Source organism: Homo sapiens, chromosome 5 (assembly GCF_000001405.40).
Source record: "Homo sapiens chromosome 5, GRCh38.p14 Primary Assembly".
Taxonomy (NCBI): Eukaryota; Metazoa; Chordata; class Mammalia; order Primates; family Hominidae; genus Homo; species Homo sapiens.
The window spans coordinates 5,597,849-5,619,830 of record NC_000005.10 but is presented as its reverse complement, the minus strand read 5'-3'; the positions used below and the strand labels follow the sequence as shown (position 1 = coordinate 5,619,830).

The 21,982-nt window shown below is 41.1% G+C and overlaps 2 annotated features.

Annotated features, from left to right (window-relative positions):
- Positions 20,462–21,661: an enhancer, noted in NCBI's record as "P300/CBP strongly-dependent group 1 enhancer chr5:5598283-5599482 (GRCh37/hg19 assembly coordinates)". NCBI's record gives its function as "activates an origin of replication core promoter dependent on BRD2, BRD4, P300/CBP, MED14 and CDK7 cofactors, with strong dependence on P300/CBP, by STARR-seq in HCT116 cells {active_cell/tissue: HCT116}" and the evidence as "EXISTENCE:reporter gene assay evidence [ECO:0000049][PMID:35650434]".
- Positions 20,841–21,135: an enhancer, noted in NCBI's record as "tiled region #1432; HepG2 Activating non-DNase unmatched - State 24:Quies, and K562 Activating non-DNase unmatched - State 2:TssF". NCBI's record gives its function as "activates a minimal TATA promoter and a strong SV40 promoter by Sharpr-MPRA in HepG2 and K562 cells {active_cell/tissue: HepG2 | K562}" and the evidence as "EXISTENCE:reporter gene assay evidence [ECO:0000049][PMID:27701403]".

Sequence of the window (21,982 nt, the reverse complement as noted above, 5' to 3'; positions counted from 1 at the left end):
CATAGTTCCAGCTAAGGGCATGATCTTGTCTAACAGCGCATGAGTTTGGCATGACCTTGCTTACGAGGACAGCATGCAGGGCGTTGCTGATAAAAATGCTTAGGCCAAAGGAGCTACAAGTAGCTAAGTCCTTTTCTCTCAAGTACTAATGAGAACATTTTTAAATCAGCTGCCCCTGCCATCTGTTGATTTGCTAGCAAATTTTGCCACAATACTTGCTGAAGCCTGAAAGATACATTGTATCATCATGCTACAATCAGCAAGGTTAGTGGCAAATGTGGGAAAGCACAGACTTGGAGTGCAGGAAATAGAGGCAGAATAAAATGACTCAGAGCATCTGAATGCTTTTGCTACTGCCGCTCCCAAATACATTATTTTGTAAAAATTAAAATTTTTATTTATTTGACATCTTTTCATTAAACACATTCAGCAGCAATGAGCTAGTTAATGAAAGTGCATGTTTAATGAAAAATTATTTCTATTTTTCCAGAATGATGATGATAAATGTGTAACATGTAGAAGATATCAATTAATTTTACTATCCATCCACCAAGCACATATAGGACATTGTGACATCACAGAGCTCATTCAAGTCAAAAGAAATGAACCTTCTTTGGAAATATCAGTGATTTTTACTGTGATGATGATGGCTGAAGATGACAATATAACACAAGTCGCTGCAGAAGGTGAAGTTGCTTTCTATTCTGAGTAGCTTGACTTTGAATGAAATGACTATTTCTTTTCTTCTTTTTCTTTCTTTTTTTTTTTTTTTTTTTTTTTTGAGATGGAGTTTCACTCTTGTTGCCCAGGCTGGAGTGCAATGGCGTGATCTTGGCTCACCGCAACCTCTGCCTCCCAGGTTCAAGCAATTCTTCCACCCTAGCCTCCCCAGTAGCTGGGATTACAGGCATGTGCCACCATGCCCGGCTAATTTTTTGTATTTTTAGTAGAGATGGTGTTTCTTCATGTTGGTCAGGCTGGTCTCGAACTCCTGACCTCAGGTGATCTGTCTGCCACGGCCTCCTAAAGTGCTGGGATTACAGGCATGAGCCACTGCATCCGGCCGAAATAACTATTTTCTAAATTATAGTGGCCTATTTTAAATTTCAAGGTTTCTTGTGCATGTACAAAAAGTGAAGAAATAGCTATTAATAAATGGCTTCATAACAGAAAATCTTTGCAAACAGATGATGCAGATCAATACCATTGGTTGCTTCAAATAGAAAACCAGATCATTATAATTGTTGAATACTTTATGTAATTAATGGAGCCAAAGAAAAGCATTTGGAAGCTTATTTTAATGAAGGTGGAGAAACAGTTTTGTTAATTTCCCTATCGTTAATTGTATATTCAGCTAAAAATTCCACATGGAATATAGAATTATTTGTTTTGTGTAATGATGTGAATACAAATTTCGGTGGAACAAAATATCATGGCAAAAGCAATATTCTTGCTGAATTAAAAATCTATGAATCGGAATCTTACTTGGAATTGGCTATGGTACTTCCATAATTCTTGGTTATATTCAAACCAGCTGAGGTATTCCACTAGTCAAAATAGAAACTTTATTATTTTATGTACAAATTTTTAACATATGCCCAGGCATGGAATAACTAAACCACAGTTTTTGGCTGAAAATGATGTTAAATGCAAAAAGGTATTGATACAACAAACAGTGCTGGGACAATTAGATATTCATGGAGATAAAAACAAACCTTAACCTCTACATTATACTCTATAAAAAAGTTAAGACAGCTTGTAGACTTGAATGGAAGCTGAAACCATAAAGCTTCTAGAACAAAATATGCACTTTCATCTTCAACATAACTCTTAGGACACTAAATAAAGCACTAACCAAAAAAAAAAAAAGCAAAATGATAAATTGAACTTTAGCAAAATTATAAACTCACGCTCTTCAGAAGACATAGCTAAGAAAACAAGAAGGCAAGAGAAGGCAGGGGAAAATATTCACAATATGTATATCTGACAAAGAATATGTATCCAGGGATGAAAATCCAAAAAAAACAAATAGTAAAAACAATCTAATCTTAAAAAGAGGCAAAAGATTTGAAGGAAAACTCACAACAGAAAATATGTGCTGGCCAATAAACCATAGAAAGGAGCTCAGCAATCATGGGTTAGCAGGAAGATGTGTTAGAATCACAATGAAATATCACTTTACACCCACTGCAATGGCTGCCATTAACATGACTGGCAACATCAAGTGTCATCAAGAATTTGGAGCAACTGGATCTCTCATACATTGCTGGTGGGAATGCAAAATATAGGACAATCACTTTGAAAAAGTGATTGGCTGTTTCTCAAAAGGTTAAGTATACTTTCACCATCAACTTAGCAACCTCATTCTGAGGCACATATCTGAAAAAAATCAAAGGATACAACCAGAAATGACTTGTAAAATAATATTTGTATCAGTTTTATTCATTATAGCCAAAAAACTGGAACCCCTCCAATGTCCACCAACAGGAGACTGGATGGAACATTATGCTAAGCAAACAAAGCCAGACATCAAAGAATACATACTTATGATTTATTATTTCATTTGTAAGAAGTTCAATAACAGGCAAAACTAATTTATGGTGATAGAAATCAGAACAGCAGCTGTCTCTGGAGGTGGAGGCAGGACTAGCTAGAGACTAACACAGGGAACTTTCTGAGAAGAGGGAAATACTCTGTCTGATTGGGCTGTGGGTTACACAGGTGTCTCTATCTTTGCCAGGTCTCATCAAATGTATGCTTATGACTTGTATAATTTGATTTAAGTCATACCTCAACAAGAAAGCAAAAGTAGATCAATTTAATAAATGAGGTGTACTGGTTTTCTGCTTTTCTATTTTTGGTGTAATAAATTTTCACAAATTTAATGGCTTGAAACAAAACAAATTTATTCTTTTACAGTTCCAGAGGTCAAAAGTCCAAAATGGGCATTCCTGGCTAAAAATCAAGGTGATGTCAGGGCTGCCTTCCTTTCTGGAGGCTTTGGAAGAGAATGCATTTTCTTATTTTTCTAGCTTTTAGACACTGCCTGTACTTCCTGGCTCCCGGCATTCTTCTTATCTTCAAAGCCAGTCGCAGCCAGTCGAGTCTTTTTCATAGGGTATTACTGCAACTCTGACTCTCCCTCCGTCTTCCGTCTTTAAAGACCTTTGTGATTACACTGGTCCCCGCAGATAATCCTGGATAATCTCCCTCTTACAGTCAGCTGATTAGCAATTTCATCTGCTACCTTAATTCCTCTTTCCACTTAACATAACATATTCACAGGTTCCAGAGATTAGGACATGGACATCCTTGGGGACATTATTCTGCCCACCATGTGGGGTTTGAGGTCAAATAGCGGAAAGCCATCATGGGAGTTTTCACCACAAGGGGCATATCCTGGGAAGGAACTCAAAAATACACTAAATCTTTAAGTTGTGTTTATATGGATATGTTACCTTTAAAAATTAATTAAGGTTAAGCTGCATAGATTAAATGTATGCACTTTAAGTAAAAATATGTCAATAATAATTTTTCAAAACAAAGGTAAGTGCCTGTGATCACTATATTTGTAAATCAGTGAGTGTCCTGAGAAAAGATTGAATGTTTTGACGTCCTCTGAATAATACTGAAAAACTCTAAATCCAAATATTCAGTGAGGCAGGAAAAGAAAACCTCAGCTTTGGAAACTTTTGACAAATTTCAATTATCTAAAACAAAGCTAGCAAATAGATAATGAAATTTGTCCCTAAAGAGCTATTAAAGAACTAAACAAATTAAAAGATGAGAGCTTATATGGAGCTTAGAATATAATTTTGAAGTTTTATGTCTCAGCTTTTGTGCAGATTTTTAGTGGAATTTTACCTTTTAATTATGTAAGTATATATTTGGCATGAGAATAGGGTAAATTGAGGAGACCATGATTTCCAAAATCAAAATTTCCCTTTCCTCAGAAGTTCTGTTTGTTGCTCTCTAGTTAGTCCTGCTTCCGCCTCCAGAGACAGCCACTGTTCTGATTTCTATCACCATAAATTAGCTTTGCCTGATATTGAACTTTGCACAAATGAAATAATAAATCATAAGTATGTATTCTTTGATGTCTGGCATTGTTTGCCTAGCATAATGTTTTATCCAATCTCCTGTTGGTGGACACTGGAGGGGTTCCAAGTTTTGGCTATAATGAATAAAACTGCTATAAATATTATTTTACAAGTCATTTCTGGTTGTATCCTTTGATTTCTTTCAGATATGTGCCTCAGAATGAGGTTGCTAAGTTGATGGTGAAAGTATACTTAACCTTCTAGGAAACTGCCAATCACTTTTTCAAAGTGACTGCCCTATATTTTGCATTCCCACCAGCAAAGTGTGAGAGATACAGTTCATAAATAGATAATTTATTTAATAAATTTTATCTTTCAAAAATATTTATCAAAGATGGATACTCTGAATGGAGGTTAAAAGTCAGAAAGTGTGAAGAGATTTGGCCTAAAACATGTATGTATTTCAATATAAAAATTAGAATTGAGGGGCTCCTTCTTTAGGAATTTAGGAATCAGCACCTGTTAAGAATATTCTCTCAGTTAAAAATGCTATGATTGTACAGAAGAGTAAACTAAAGGCATCAGTAACTTCAAATTTGTTAGCTATGAAATTCAACTTTGTGGAATATTACAGCTAATTGTGGAAAATATTATAAAAAATAAGACCTTATTAAAAACATACTCTATGGGCCGGGCAAGGTGGCTCATGCCTGTAATCCCAGCACTTTGGGAGGCCAAGGTGGGCGAATCACCTGAGGTCGGGAGTTTGAGACCAGCCTGACCAACATGGAGAAACCACGTCTCTACTAAAAATACAAAATTAGCCAGATGGGGTGGCGCATGCTTGTAATCGCAGCTACTTGGGAAGCTGAGGCAGGAGAATTGCTTGAACCCAGGAGGCGGAGGTTGCAGTGAGCCGAGATCATGCCATTCCACTCCAGCCTGGGCAACAAAAGCGAAACTCTGTCTCAAAAACAAAAAAAAAAAACTCTATGGAAAAATACCAGTGACTTAATAGTAGATATAAATATGCTAAATACCTGATAAAGTTTATAAACATGTAGCCTAAATGACCATTCTGCTTATTTTATTTTAATATTCAGATTAGTAATATGAAGATTAAATGTTGCTTTAATGTATGTGTTATTTTCATGTTTTAGGCCATCTTTTAATTACTTTTATTCAACTATTTTAGAGGTCTACCAATGTAATAATATCAACCTGTCATTCAGCAAATAAACATTTCAAAAATTGTATAAGATGAAATAATTGTTGTTCTCTCTTGTGTTTCCTAAATTGTCCTAATATGGCTGGCAAATCTGATGGTCAGACTACATATCAACCACATGAAGGAGGCTACTCTTTGTCCCTAAGAACAAAGTTAAAGCCACGGAGGATTCCAAGAAGGGATATGATCGAACTAGCATTTGGCAAGTATCACTCAAGCTACATTTTAGAAAGAGGTAAGGGTCAGATTTTTTGAGATGTAGACTCCAAGCTGAAAGTAGGGTGAGTCCTGTGAGGCCCATTTGTTGCTGCAGGCTGGGTTCCCAGGGAGCCAGTTCTGAGGTAAAGATTAGCACATAAACAATTTCTTAGCTAGTGCTCCTGCAATCACAACTCATAGGAGGGATTGGGCTGAGAAAGAAACTGGGTTATGCTGCAGTGTCTCTAGAAGCCCCAGCCCACCTGTGGGGAGTCCTGAAGCTGGGATGAGCCTTCAGCATTTTTCCAAGTTGGGACACTTATCAGTCCTTGAATACAGGTCACAGCAATAGGGGCAGGACCTCCCTCAGTTGAGGCAGTCTCCAGGGAGACTGGCAGCTGGGCACTCTATCCCAGCAGCATCCCCAGCACCTGAGGAAGGAGGTGCTTCATTCCTGAAAGTGGCTCTGGGCGATGCATCACAACATCCAGCTTTCCTGTGCTGGGTCTTGTGCTGGGCATACACTTGCCTACAGATGGGCAAGTGTGTGCCAAGCCTAGGACCAGGTTCTAACGCAGGGGAGATTGTTTCTCATTTACATACAGGCACCACATCGACCAGAGGCAAACCTATTTCTATTCAAGAAGAAGGTAGGAGAAACAATAACTGCACTGCCTTCCCAGTGTAGCCATGCTTCCTAGCTTCTTGATCTGGGAGGGCACCCAGATGAGAGCCTCCTAGGAGGAGCTAACAGCACCTAGGACTTGTATGGGTACTGCTAGGCTAGGAGCACTGTCAGGAATCTAGCTCACCCCAAGAAGACAGGAGGGTCTTCAGTCTGCCTGTGTCTCTTTTGAGCTCTGCCTTCCTTGGTACTGGAGTCTTTACAGACATTGGAGGGGAAGTGAAAGCTGGCGACCCACGCAGGTGCACAACACAGCCACCTCCTGGATGGACGTTAGCCAAGAGCCAACTAATGCCAACTAATTAGGACTACCAACAAATGTTAGCAAGTTAGTGGTCAAAAAAAACTTCTAGCTCTTCATAATGCACCTGCCTCTTGAATAATAAAAATGTTTGGTGGGTTATAATTCAGAAAATTCATTTTGTAATCACATTGGAGGCCAGCAATTTACCAAAATGCTATTTAACAAAATGCTGCGCACATTAGAAAAAAAAAAAAAGAAGAAAAATGATGAATTATCCTCACAAAGGGAACCAACCAAATTCCCAAAATAGTCTTCGCTGTAAAAGCTTCTTTCTGCTTTAGGTGCTTCCTCTGCTGATTCATTCTATTCTCAAGGTCTGTTCTTTCAGTACGTTTTGGTGTGAAAGAAAAAAAAAAAGCCCAATTCTCTAAGGTGAAGATAATAATTTGGTAAATACCATTTTCCAAAATTCAGTACTATAAATCCTATTTATCAATCACAAGCAATCAAAAACATTTACATTTTCAAGTTCTACCCCCAACTCTAAAACTGTGTCTAGTTTTTACTTGCAGATTGTTTATTTTTAGACCAAAATTGCCAATCCTCATAAAGAGTGATTCCAGATCAGAGTCTAAGGAAGAGTTTTATATCAAAGAAAGCAGTCAGGAAAGCAATTCGTAAACTGTAAAATCTAGGGAATATACGGCATTAGTGTTCCTCTCTCAATTAACAGTAATGACGGTGGTAAGACGGTTGCCTGCCATGGTGTAAGGGCAGAGAACAACTGTAAGCAAGTCCAAGAGTGTGACATTGCACATACATGGTGTTCCATAAATGTTTAACTACATCCACCTAAGTGCATTGGTGGGAACTGAATGGAAAAGGCTCAGCTCTCCAGATCTCTGCCTAAGAAGCTCCGGCCCAGCCAAAAGAGAGGGGTAAATTGAAATGCTCTCATCTGCCTGTGAGAGAAAATCAAGGAGTCTGTTGAACCAGTAAACTGGACTGTCAGGGCTGAGGTTCCTGGTTTAAAGTGAGAGCAAACCCCTACTGCTTTTGTGCCCAAAACAAGGCCAAGAACTGCTGCCCTGCCAGCCTTGGGTGCAGGTGGTGACAACACCAAGGGGAGCCCAGCTGTGGCCACAGCCCCTGGAGACATGAGCTCTGAAATGGGCAGAATGGAAGCCACAGGATCTGGAGTTGCAGGAGCCTTGTCTTGTACTTAGTGTATGACCTCAGGCTCCTACTCAGACTCTCTTGAACCTCTGACGGGAGCTGTGTCCGTGTGCCTCCAGTGTCACTGAGGACTGAAGAATGAATTGATAGAAGGCAACCAGCCAATACTTGGCAATTAGAAGCTCTCAGTAACTCTTAATTCCTGTCTCTTCTCTCTCCTTGGTTATAAAACCTATCTAGATAGCATCTTTTCCATCATGGATACCTTGCTATCTTCCTTGTTTATTTCCTGTCTCTACACTCGCTCTCAAGTCACCCAGAGAAGCATCACCCCCTCACAATCCAGTCACATCTTCTGTTGGTCATGCTCCTCACACAAGTTCTCTCTGGACAAAAGGAAGGTTCTCAGTTAGTCCAGCGAGAGCACCATGCTTCTCCATCTGCTCAAACTCCATCAGTAAAAGCCCACACTGAAAGATAACTCAAGGAAAAGTTGGAGGGTTGGAAAATTAGTAACAGGTTCACTAGCTTAAATCCAACACAATTAAATTTCAAGCTGCTTAAGTAATTAGGATACTCTTCGGAATATGCAATAATGGGTTTGGTATACATATATATCAAATTTATATATAAATAATAATTGTCTAAATCTCATTCAGTTAGTTTAGTGAACCAGGGATTATCACTCTCTGAGCAATCATCCAGTCCATTGCTGTGCCTTAGAGTGAAAAGACATCAAAGTTCCTCAGTGTTGCAAAAATCAAACATGAGACACTGCGCTTACAAAGAATTCATTCTTACCCAGAACTTTATGCCACGCAGCCTGTCTGCACGCTGCTCCTGGCTCAGCCCACAGCTGCTGTTAAGAGCAAGTCATTGGGTCCACCTCCGTATGTGGAGGATGAAAAAGAGACTCTGCTTCAAGCTACCAGATACACGGCTGGATGTCCCCATCCAGTCAGGGCTGCCCTGGGGGGTACTCACGTCCTCCAGGAGGTGGCTGGATCCAGAAGTGGATATGATTTATTTTAAGGGACACCCCCAAGTGAGATGCTTTGTCTTCCTCCTCCAGCCTGAAGGAATATAAATATTTACCTTATTTGTGTAACACACCCTGCCATGCCAACCCCTTACAACTTGATTAGAGACACAGACCAAGCTAGACCACTAATCCAGTCATATCCCTGAGATGCTATGAATACTCGCAGCAGAGAGAAAAAGTAGCCCATGCCACGTGCCATGCGAAGCCTCCTCTTGCCTCCTGTAGGAATGTCTATTGAGAAGGCTCACCCGCAGCCCATGCCACGTGCCATGCGAAGCCTCCTCCTGCCTCCTGTAGGAATGTCTATTGAGAAGGCTCACCCGCAGCCCATGCCACGTGCCATGCGAAGCCTCCTCCTGCCTCCTGTAGGAATGTCTATTGAGAAGGCTCACCCGCAGCCCATGCCACGTGTCATGCGAAGCCTCCTCCTGCCTCCTGTAGGAATGTCTATTGAGAAGGCTCACCCGCAGCCCATGCCACGTGCCATGCGAAGCCTCCTCCTGCCTCCTGTAGGAATGTCTATTGAGAAGGCTCACCCGCAGCCCATGCCACGTGCCATGCGAAGCCTCCTCTTGCCTCCTGTAGGAATGTCTATTGAGAAGGCTCACCCGCAGCCCATGCCACGTGCCATGCGAAGCCTCCTCCTGCCTCCTGTAGGATGTGTGCTGGGAAGGCTCACCAGCAGCCCAGGCGTCTGGTAGGAATGCGTGTTGGGAAGGCTCACCCGCAGCCCATGCCATGTGCCAGGGGAAGCCTTCTCCTGCCTCTGGCAGGAATGCGTGTTGGGAAGACTCACCCACAGCCCGGGTCTCCACCTGCCAGCAGCAGCTTCCTCCCTTCTGCTATGGCAGCAACTCCCTGAAAAGGTGGGCCTGGGCCACCAATGTCAGGTTCACGGAACCCCCGGTGTAGAAATGAGATGGTTGAACTAAAGGGGGCCAGGTGGATTCAGAGCCTTGGGGGCCCAGTGCTCCCAAAATGCCAGTCCTTGCTTTTTGTGCTGTGTTCACAAAAACAGAGAGTAAACTTCAAGAATACCCTTCCCTCCATCGGTGGCGCAGGGTGCAAAATCAAATATTTTTTGCCATGGCAGCACTTTTAGAGAAATGGGTGGGAGTTCTGGGAAGAAAGGACTGTGTCTGCAGTATAGAGGCTTCCAGAAGATTGTGTGTGACTCCTGGAGCTAGGTGGTTTCCTACAACATAAACAGCAATATAACCTCATACCCGTGGAAACAATGTGTGTCCAATAACACACAGAAACGCAGCTCATCGTAAAAGCTACTCAAAGCAATACAAAGGAAGCGTGTGGGCTTCTGTAAGGAAATAGAAATGGTGATGTTAGCTAGTGTGTCCACCAGTCAGTGACCACCGTAATGAGGTGAGGGGGCCATGAGTGAGACAATGAACTGTGCCTTGCTACTCAACCAGTGCTCTGCTGGCCAGCGACGGGAAGGTGTCATAGAAATCACTACTCAGGTGTCCTAACTGCAGTAGACTCTGTATTCTCCTATGCAGAATGTTTTCAAACATGTTACTAGCACCTCTTTCTTAAGGGAAAAATGTGCCTCAGGAAACACAGCACATTTCAAGGACCACTGACCACATTGCCACCCCCGCCACTGCTGTGAGTCACGCAGATTCCCAGGTGGTATGGGGGTTCATGACCCTTCCTACATCAAAGAGATCAAGCAGAGCCTCTGAGGGCAGCAATAGAAATGAGAATGGCCAGTATTAGGATTGCAGTGATGCACCTGCTTAAATGGCAAGGAAAATCTTTGGCACCACTGTGAATAGATCTATGTGGAAAATCACTACAATACATGGACACATTGAGTGTATCATGAATTAACAGCTTCCCTTTGAAATTATCGCGGATACCCAGGAGAGTGGCCCACTGGAAGCAAAAGTGAAGGAAGGCCTCTTGGCTCATTTCCTAGTGCCTTCAGCTGCCTTCTTGTTTAAAATGCTTGCCCCTCATCCTTTGAAGTTAATTTCATAGTGGGCCTCAAAAAACAACATGAAACAAGTCTTTTAATTAGTGAATGACTGCATGATTGCATGCATACATGGCTACAAGTACTAATGATTATGTTTTTCTTTTAAAAAATGAAAGAGTAGACCCATTGTTCATAATAGGAAGCTCCTTTTCAAAAATAGAACCAGCCATGAATATTGGTCTCTTCGTTCTTGGTTTTAAAAAAACTTTAGTTCTTATTACAAAATAGTATATGTGCATTGCATAAATTTTTGCACAAGCAGACAAGATAATGAAGATGAGCTGAAGATATTACAACTCAGGGAGACTACTGTTTAATATCATTGCCTTTCTCATCTTTGTTACATTCATTTGTTTCTTTTCATTTCACCAATATTGAATTCTATTTTACCTGCTATTTGGTAGACTTTATTACTTAGCATAAAACGAACATGATATTCATATAATTAAATACTCTTATAGTGAAAAAAATTTAACTGAAGTCATCTGATTAAAACACATATAAAATCAGCCTATGAAAGTTACAAAAGTAGTTTCTGGAACAATGAGCATCATTATGGATAAGCCAACTTGGACAAGTAAAGAATATTTAATTAATTTTGGAAGGCCAAGGCAGGTGGATCACCTGAGGTCAGGAGTTTGAGATCAGCCTGGTCAACCTGGTGAAACCCTGTCCCTACTAAAAATACAAAAATTAAATGGGTGTGGTGGCACACGCTTGTAACCCCAGCTACCCAGGAGGCTAAGGCAGGAGAATCGCTTGAATCCAGGAGGTGGAGATTACCGTGAGCCAAGATGGCACCACTGCACTTCAGCCCGGGTGACAGAATGAGACTCCATCTCAAAAAAGAAATTAATTAATTAGTTCTAGGTACTTCGATTCTATTAACTCAGACTAGGAAGCTAAAATTAGAGAATACTTTCTACTTTGCAGTAACACATACACATATGCCGATTTCATTTCCAAGCAATGACATGTTCTAGAACATAAACTTTGTCTGGAAGGGAATTTGTTTGCTGCTATATAGGAATAATTCTGGAGCACAGTAGGTGCTCAGTTAAAACTTGTAAATGGACTCATTGATTGTAAAGTTGTGGACCTGCTCGGTAATTAATCAGCGATCACATGTTTCAACCACAGGAAATGCAAATAAGCTAATAAGCAGATCCAGTTCTGTGAATTTTTTGAGGACTCTGAATATTTTGGGCTTCTAAATTGCCATTGAACCATCAACTCTATGTCTATACCATCCACTCTCAAGTCCAGCATCCCTGTTGCTGCATGTGGTTGTAATTCATTCACTCATATTGCTGTGTAGTATTCTGTGGTGTGAGTATACCAGGTATGTTGATCCATTCTGCTTAAGGTTTATTGTTTCCAGGTATAGAGTATTGTAATAGTGTACATATCCTACATAGTGTTGGGGATGCATGCGGTCAGAGTAGATCTTGATGAACAGATTTGCAAAGTGGTACAAATTTGCATTCCTACCCTGAGTGTGACAGAAAATCAGTCTTCACAACTTCTGTCAAACTTGATACGGCTTCGTCTTTTAAAATTTTAGCATCATAATATTTGTTTTTCCCTTTTCATTTGAAAAAAATAACTTAATCAGATTGCATTGCATCAAACACATACATCAGTTTGGGGACTGATATGGTTAGGCTTTGTGTCCCCGCCCAAATCTCATCTTGAATTGTAATCCCCATAATCCCCATGTGTCAAGGGCAGGACCAGGTGGAGATAATTTAATCATGGGGACAGTTTCCCCCATGCTGCTCTCATGACAGTGAGTGAGTTCTCACAGGATCTGATGGTTTTATAAGCATCTGGCATTTCCCCTGCTTGCACTCACTCTGTCCTGCAGCCCTGTGAAGAAGGTACCTGGTTCTCCTTAGCCTTCTGCTATGATTGTAAGTTTCCTGAGGCCTCCGAAGCCACGTGGAACTGTAATCAATTCAGCTTTTTTCCTTTATAAATGACCCAGTCTCAGGTATTTCTTCATGGCAGTGTGTCTCACACTGCACTAATACAGGGACTATTGACACCTTTATATCTCATCCGTCCATGAAGATGGCATATGATGTTTACTTAGTTCTTTAGTTTCACTAAGTAAAGATTTACAAATATCAGTGTATACATCTGACACATCCTTTGTACTTTCTTCAACTCTGATGGTTATGTTCCTTGTCAGTAGAATATAGTTCAATCTTATTTAAAAAAAAATTTTTTTTTTGAGACAGGGTCTCACTCTATTACCCATTATGCAGTGGCATAATCACAGCTCGCTACAGCCTCGACTCACTTGAGCCTCGGGCTCAAGCAATGCTCCCACCTCAGCCTCCCCACTCACTAGGACTACTATGCCAGGTTAATTTTTGTATTTTTGGTAGAGATGAACTCTCATCATTTTGCCCAGGCTAGTCTCGAACTCCTGGGCTCAAGTGATCCACCCACCTTGGCCTCCCAAAGTGCTGGGATTACAGGCATGAGCCACCACGCCTGGCCAATGGGTTTTTTATTTAGTCTGACAAAGCAAGTCTTTTAATTGGAGTATTTAGTGCATATATATTTAAAGGAATGACTGATATATTTGATTTTATGTTGTATCATCTCACTGTTTTAAAATTTGAACACTGTATTTTATGTTTCCTGTTCTCTCCTTTATTGTCTGCTTCTGAATGAATCAAATGCTTTAAATTTTTTCTTTTTTTCTGTCTATTTGATTACCAGTTGTATACTGTTTTAGTGGCCACTGCAGAGTTTATAACATGCATCCTTGATTTATTATACTTTTAACACTACCCCACAGTGCTAGAGTCTTAACTCTTTCAACCCCTTCCCACTGGTATTGCCATCTTGCATTTAATTCAACATATATTAAATTCTATAATATAATTACTATTACTATTATTTTATTCAGTCAAAATTGATTTCTACTTGTCCAAATATTTACCTTTTCATGTGCTCATTCATTTCTACATTTGCATCATTATAATTTTAATCATTATCCTTCTGCTAGAAAAACTCTTTTAGTATTTTTAGTGCATGTTGTTGGTGATAAATTCTTCTAGTTTTTGTTTGTCTTAAAATATCATCACTTTACCTTCCTTTTTCCTAATATTTTATTACGAAAATGTTCCAACCTGCAATAAAGTTGAGAAAATATGTTAAAACAAACACTTGTATGCACATTATTAGCTTCAACTATAAACATTTATTTGGATTTTATCACATATGTAAATTTGCATGCATACATCTCACTATCAACCCATCTTATTTTTGACACATTTTAGAGTAAATTTTAGACATCAGTACAGTTGTTTTGAAATACTTTATCATTACCCCGGCACTATTTATTGAAGGGGGAGTCCTTTCCTTAGTCACAGAAGTCCTCCATGCTAAGATTAAGGGTTAAAGTCAAGGGTTGTATCCTCTGGTTCAGGCATTAGGTTGACTCCCTTCTTCACTGACGGAGCAAGAGCATTGATTACATCCAACCACGGCCAGAATCCAGCAGAACAGAGTGCCTGCCTTCAAGATTCTTCCAGACCAGCTGCGGAGACACACAAGACCATGCACAACCACAGGGCAGAGCATGAGAGGCAGCTAAGAGCAGGTACTCTATTAAGTCAGCCGAGCCAGGGAGCGGGTGTTGCCGTAAGGGTTCCCCTAGCCTTCCTGAAGAGCTGGGACTCCGGAGTTCTAAAGAACAGTTTTGAGTGAACTGACGTAGGACAAGATGGAGGCGGTGCCAGGGGATTGAGGATGGCTGAGCCCACATGTTCAAGGAGCAGGAACCAGAAGTGGCACAACATGATCACGTGGTCAGTCAGTGACATGTGTGGGAGAGGGGCCCCGTGACCCTACCAGTTAACTCTCAGAAGGACGCTCCATGAGAATACTGAAAATATGGAGGCTGAGTCACCTCCTGAAGCCGCACAGCTGTTATGTGACAGAGGGAAGCTCGGGTAGCCTGTGACAGTGACTCACAGGCTCCTTCCATGACCCGAAGGACAGTGGCCATGGATGATCCTGGCTGAGACTTTTGAGAAAAGATGCTGCTATTCTAATTCTCTACCAGAGAAAGGTCAAGGAAGTGGGGTCTTTTGCCTTCATCAACAGGATTCTTTTATCCCATCTAGATTATTTTTCATAGCATTAATAATTTAAAATGATGAGAGAAAATTGAATCTTTAAACTTTAAGTAAAAGATACATTTCTTAATGCAGGAATTCTTTGAAAGAGCACTCATTTTTTCCACCTAACATATGATTAGCGAACACATTAGTCCTCTATTTTCACAGCAACTCCTAGAAAGCAAGTGGAAATTTCACTGTTACTGTCTTCCTGCAAGAATCTGATACTAAAGACAGTTTAATTGGCTACTACATTCCTGAAATAAGATGTAAATTATATAAACAATTATAATCCTCCAATCATATGCAAATCATTTTAAATGAATTGTTGATAGTCAAAAGGTCTAGTTCCTCAGCCACGTTCCCAGTGAAGTCCACTTGAATAATCCAGGATAACCTCCTCAATCTCAAGGTCCTTAAATAAATCAAATCTGCAAAGTCTCTTTTGCCATGTAAGGTAGCATATTCACAAGTTGCAGAGATTTCAATGTGGATGTCTTTGGGGGCCCTCATTCTACCTGCTACAGAGGAAGAATTGAGTCTCATGGAATCTCAGGATTCAGTTGCCAATTTGCAGGAAATACAGAGGACAGAGGAATATGTTGAACTGCAGCAGGAGAATGCAATTCTCAAAATCCAGATAAATTGTAAGGAAGTAAAAGAGATGGTGGGGAACACTAAGATTAAGAGAAATTTAAAATACATTTCAAAAATTCTTAGTACCCGGATATGTACATGAGTAATAAGCTGGGGAGAAATGGAAGGAACTGATTCTTATAAAAAGTCAAGGAAGTAATTACTTTAGAAAGGAAGGAGAGATTGTGTTTGGAATGGAGAAGCTTTGGGGGAGAATGACAAGGATCTATTGATTGGGTGGAGATGATGGGCTATTGGTCTTATAATAATTTAAGATTTAAAAAACGCAAGCGCAGGACCCAAAACTGAGCAAAGTGTTCTAACTATGTCGTGCTTCATTTATTGCAGTTAAAGATCACTTTTGACTTTTTTCACAGTTGACTCAAGATAAAATTTCCTGTTGACTAAAAGATACAGGCTTTGTCTAAATACTTATTTTCTGCTGTCTAGAAAAATATGTCTATATTTCACATGCAAAGGAGTCAAGCATTTCCTCATTCAGAGCATACTACCTACATGATCATGGCAATTAATATGTACAGGTTTCTTGAAAAGAAAAGAGAAATTGTGTTTTCTTGTCATTTTGTCTGTAACAGAATCTACCCTTCTTCTTGAAACTTTTATTAATCAGAAATACATTGATTAATAAAAGATGAAAAGAAAAGATCAACTGTCAAAAATTCATGTTGCATTTTTTCCAGAGGCTGTGCCTGTGAGGTTCCACTGTTGGAACCTCACACAAAAGGAATGGAAACCACCAACACCTAAGGCCAAAACTAACAAACCGAAAAACTCAAGTACCATTACAATACAGCACATAAACAGAAAAGTCCATGTATATTGAAGAGCTAAGCCTTGTTTCTGGCATTTATCAATAATGTAGACTGAGGTCCAAGGCTTCCTCTTCAAAACAGCTGAGCTCACACATCTGCCTTTGTCTCTCAAAATTCTACCAAATTAAAGAGGATATATCAAAGTAAGAATAAATGCTTATCAGTAGTGGAAAATACAATGATCCCGTTAGAAGACCAGAACATTGAAGAATTTCTGGAAACTGAGCCAATTGTGATGAGATTGATGGAGAAAACCAGCAGAAATAAAGAGCTCCCTGCACAATATAAGCATCAAGAAAGACCATGAAAAAAGTGGAGTTTTCCCAGCAGTATTCCAGAATGACCACATGACCTGAGGCATCATGAATGATTATGGGGCTGTCCATGGAGAAATTAATTAAAGACGTGTTGAACAGCTGCTCCACTTCTTGGCTCTTGGACAGTTGGGCTAAAGCTGGAAGAATTATTTCCCATATGCAGGGGAGATCTGCCTTGGGAGACCCAAGAATGAAACTTGGGCTAAGGTGAGACATGGGCCATTGTCTCAGTATTCTCTGGTAGTGGACAAGGAATCCTCATAGCCAAAAGGTAAGCTTCCTAGGCACACAGAAGAGACACTTGCTCACACAAGCTGGTGTGATGACCATCTACCATCACAGCATGGGGATCAATCATTGTTACCCACTTTAAAGAAAACTCAGTATTGATAAGTCTAGAAGAACTGTGTTGGGGCAGGGACTCTTTCTTCCATAGACCCTGAAAGAAATAAGGTAGAGTTATTCCAGCTTTGCCTTCCCAACTGCAGTGCTGAAAATAATCTTATCTCTCTCAACCTCCATATCTATAAGATGAGGTCATCATACCTATCAACAAGGTTACCATGAAGAAAGCAGGCAGCTTCATGACTGCATGTGGTGCAGTCTCAATGCAGAGCTGGTAACCAGCATTTCCCTTGCTATGCTTAATTTCCCATTCACCGCCTGGGCCATCTCCAGCTGCAGCTGATTGGACCTGGGCAGGCCAATGCCTCATCATGAGCCAAGATATTGTTGGGGCAGCTGCCAATCAGATTCTGTTCTTGAGGATTTGAACTAAGAGACCCAGAGACTGAGAGAGTTAGAATTTGAATTGTATCCTCAAAGATATATAACAGACATTCCTGATGGTGAAATCCTGGAGACACCTTGATTCTCGACTTCCCTGGGACAATTTTTAAGCCATTCTTTGGATTTGATGAACTCAGAACTCTTTTCTTGCTCTGGCTTAAATGGCTTTCTGTTTCCTACAGCTGACCAGCCCCAGTTCAAGATCACACTCCTAGATGTCAGTTTCCTGCTTGTCACCATTTGATATGAAACCCACATGGGAATGGAGATGGATGTCATCATCCCAATGTCTTACAGTGTGTCTGGGATTGGTCTGGGCATGGGACCAAGTTCTTCTGTCTTATAAGCCAGACCTGTTGGTAGATCTCATATTTATCTCCTATGTTTAGCTAATGAGAAATTTCATTCAACAGGCCATTAATTATTTTACACAGCATGAGTATTGAACAATTGTATCATCTTACCAAAACAAATGAATATGGGCCATTGGAGAACTGACCTTGTCACTGTTAATTGTGCCTTTCAACCGTACTTAGTAAAACTGTATTTCTTTATCTCAAAAGATTTGTTCATACTCAGCATCTTGAAAATCACTATTAAATAGTAAATAACAACAATGCCAACAAAATAAATAATAACAATAATAATAGAAGCTAACATTATTGGAAGTTTATTATGTAGCACTTTATAGATTAGAGCACAGACATGAATTAATTTGCCCAACTTACACCACCAGTGTGTGATAGAACTAGAATTTGAACCTACAATGTGGGTGTAGTGCCTCACCCATATCCTCTCTACCAGGCTGGTACCTGCCCACCAACTACTGTGAGTGTTGGCTGCTAATGGCACCTCACCTAGGAAGTTATATGGCCCATCACCAATGGTTCACAGATATGAGGTACAAAAGACTGACCCCAGCCTCATCCAGGTATCAACTTGGTATGATCTAAGTTCCAGAGCCCTCATCACATAAACCAAGTACTACAGACTGAATGTTCATGCCCCTTCAAAATTCATATACTGAAATCTAATCTCCTGTGTGATGGTATTGGGAGCTGGGACACTTCAGGGACAATAAAGTAACAGGGGTGGTGCCCTCATGAGTGAAATTAGTTCCCTTATAAAAGAGACCCTAGAGAGATCTCTTGCCCCTTCTACCATGGGAGATTACAGTGAGAAGATGACCATCTATGAACTAGGAAGCAGTTCCTCGCAAGATACTGTATTTGCCGGCAACTTGATCTTGGACTTCCAGACTCCAAGACTGTGAGAGATAAATGTCTGTTGTTTGGAAGCCACCCCATCTATGGTATTTTGTTAGAGCAACCCAAATGCACTAAGACACCAAGAGAAGATTTCCATAAGAACATATCCTTGTCCAGCTTTCTCCTTCTCTCTCCTGAGTCACTCTCTGCTTTGCAGGTATTTCCTGAGGAGCATTGCCTCCACAGTCATGTGTACCTGAACCTCTGTCTCAGACTCTGCTTCTTAGAAACTCGACCTAAGACTGTTGGTACCAAAACTAGACCCAAGAAGCAAACATTAAGAACTGGATTCTGATGTGTGATCACTTTCCATCCAGTTGGCAACAATGACCCCATCACTGTTGGTCGGTGGATTAATGATAGTGGCACACAGAAGCAGTGAAACTGCTAAGGCTTTTCACCTGCAGTGAACTGACATGAGACACAGGTAGAGAGGGTTGTTCTGATTTGTGCAATATCTTTGCCATTGGGAAGACAATGGAGAGATTATAATTAGAAGACTATGGAATTGAGTGACTATTGCTGAGTGCCAATGATACTTTGAAAAGAGAAGATGACAGTCTAGGACCATCAGTCACTTAATGCAATGTGTGAGAGTGAGAGGGCCTTCTGGGCATCATTGCAAGGGATCTCCATCTTCTACAGCAAGAGGACAAACAGAGCTGAAGCCCAGGCACAGGACTTGATTGAAAGAATGACTGAAGGTAAAGATAGGTATAAATCCATGGACTGTGGCAAATGACTTAGCTGGTTGGCCAGGGTCCTGGAAGAAGAAATATTGGAAGACTGGGGACCAGAAGGTCAGAAAGAGACATGTGTGAGGATCTGTAAGAGTGGGGAAAGTGTGATGATCTTCATACCTGACACCAGAGACAACTGCTGAGGAGGAGACCTTCAACAGCCAGTGGGCAGGATGACTCAGGCAGTTGATGGTAGCCAGCCCATGCCCTTGTCACTTGGTGTTTGTGCAATGATGTCAAGAATGGAATAGCCATGTTGTAGAGACAGGGGCTAGTCATAGAGCCAGGCACATAAGGGCCTTCTCACTAAAGCTGATTTACCTATCACCATTGCTGAGTGTCTAACAGAGTCAGACACCGAAGCTGATTCTAATCCCCTGATATGCACCTCCCTCAAGAAGACCACCCCACCATTTTGGGGGATAGTCTAGTATATCATACCCAGTCTTCCTAGAAGGGCAGCAATTCATGCTGACTGAGTTTGACACCTACTGGGATTGGATTTGCCTTTCCTACCTGCAGGGCTTCACCCAGCACAATACCCAAGGCCTCACTATGAGTCTGATTGACTGTCATGGGATCCTGGGTAACATCATCCTAGTCCAAGGAATCCCCCTGACAGCAAAGGGGCTGTGGCAGTAGGAACAGGACCTTGGGTCCACTGACCCTACCACATACCACCACCAGGAGGTGGAAGCCTGATGAAATGGCCTCTGAAAGGGGAGCTGAGGTTCCAGCCTGGAGATGATGGCCTGTGAGGATGAAACACTATCCTTCAGACGGGATGTTCCCATTAAACCAATGGTTTTCACATGGTGTCATGTCCTCAAAGGTACAATTGCTGTGTCTGAAAAACAAGGAAAAGACTAGAAATGGCCCCACTCTCCACCACTCCAGTGACCACTAGCGGAATTAATATTTCCCATCTCCAGAATTTTTGCTCTGTGGCCAATCTTAATTAAGAGTCTAGGGGCTCTTTTACTGAGGGGCAGCGATGCTGCTGACCAGGAAAATAAAAAGAATCCTTCTCAATGTGAAGCAATGGCTGTTGCAGATCACTTGGGGCTCCTTGTGCTAGAAAATCAGCAGGCACAGCAGTAGCTAATTTATGAAGTCCGTGTCACCCTGATCGCCATGAGGTCCATGCAGCACTCCTGCTAAGTGACGCCGCCCTCAGGTAATCCACCTGGGCATCTCTTAGTGTCCAATGCCCTGTTTTAACAATAATAGATAGATAAAGAAATCAGAGCCTGCTCAGGGTTTGGTCACCAGGGTTTCAGATCCATCAAGGTTGAGAGTTGGGTCAACCACCAGGCAATCCACCCAGACCAGCCAAAACACTAGTTAAGAGTACAAGGAATTTAGCACCCGTCATAGAGGAGGGAAACATTTTCAGTGATGGCCTCAGGGCCATCTGTGACAGTGGTGCATAAAATTCCCCACCAATCCTCCTTTTATGTTTTCCTAAGGCTTGTGAGCATGGAATCATGGGCAGTGTGAAGTTAATAAAAGGAATAAGCGGATTTGAACTCCGCATTAGGTGGAGTGTCATAGACAATGTGGTGCTCCACCCAGTTTCCTTTCACAAGGCTGGCAGCCCCACCCCCAGCTGTTTTGCGTGTTGGCTGTTAGCTAAGAGGGAGGCGGAGCTACCCTCTTTCTTTGACGAATTGTCCTCTATTGATAGAAATTGCATCATCAGGAAGTGACACAGCCCTCACCTGAGTGTGACCCACAGTCAATGAGCGATTGATATGAGGAACAGAATCCAGCCCCTCTGACTCAGTGGGATACACCTCAAAGGCTGATTTATGCCCTGCGGCTTTCTCCCTGGGTTCAGACCCCAGCTAGACTGTACCTGTGACCACACGCTGGGTGAGCTCTTTCCTTTTCCTTATTCTTCTCCACTCCTGTTCTTCCATGTTTTCCTGCAGAACCCTCCCTTAATAAATCATGTGCTCCCGAGTCCCTGTTTTGCACTTTGTGCTGAAGGAACCCAACCTGAACCACTGGGTGTTAGGTTAATCCACATGTAGTTCTCACCGTCCCCATAAGAAGAAACACACAACTTTTGGTTTTGCATTTAGCTTTTATAACTCATCTCCAAATTCTGCTGGGGCTAATACAATTATGAACTATAGCCACATACAGTGCAGAAGAGTAAAAGAAATAATTATAAGGTTCCGAACGACTGAGGTGGCAGAGTTACCAGAATGATATAATTGCTTTATTAAAAAATCAGTATGTGCCTATGCATCACACTGAGTCGTCAATAAATGGCTTCCTAATTACCCAAGAGTCTATACAAATTGTCTTAATTCATTTGTGTTGTCGCTTGCTAAAAATTGTCACCTATTGACGATGTGGGATATACTTGGGTTCATCGTCTCAAAAGAAAAATGTCTCCTATTTTCTATTGACAAGACCTGTAAACCAGATCGGTTGGTTTGACTGAGATTATTTCCTTCTTGGTCTCCAAGAACTTGTCATCAAAGCTTACAAGGAGCATTTTAATTACATTTTAGATATATAATTTCTCTCTTACCAACCATAATTGTGACAACTTGTCAATTACATAGTTTCGCTTATGGTTTAGGTGCATGCACATTTTAGCAGAGCTTTCCCCCAAAGACAAGCCTTTGTTGTGT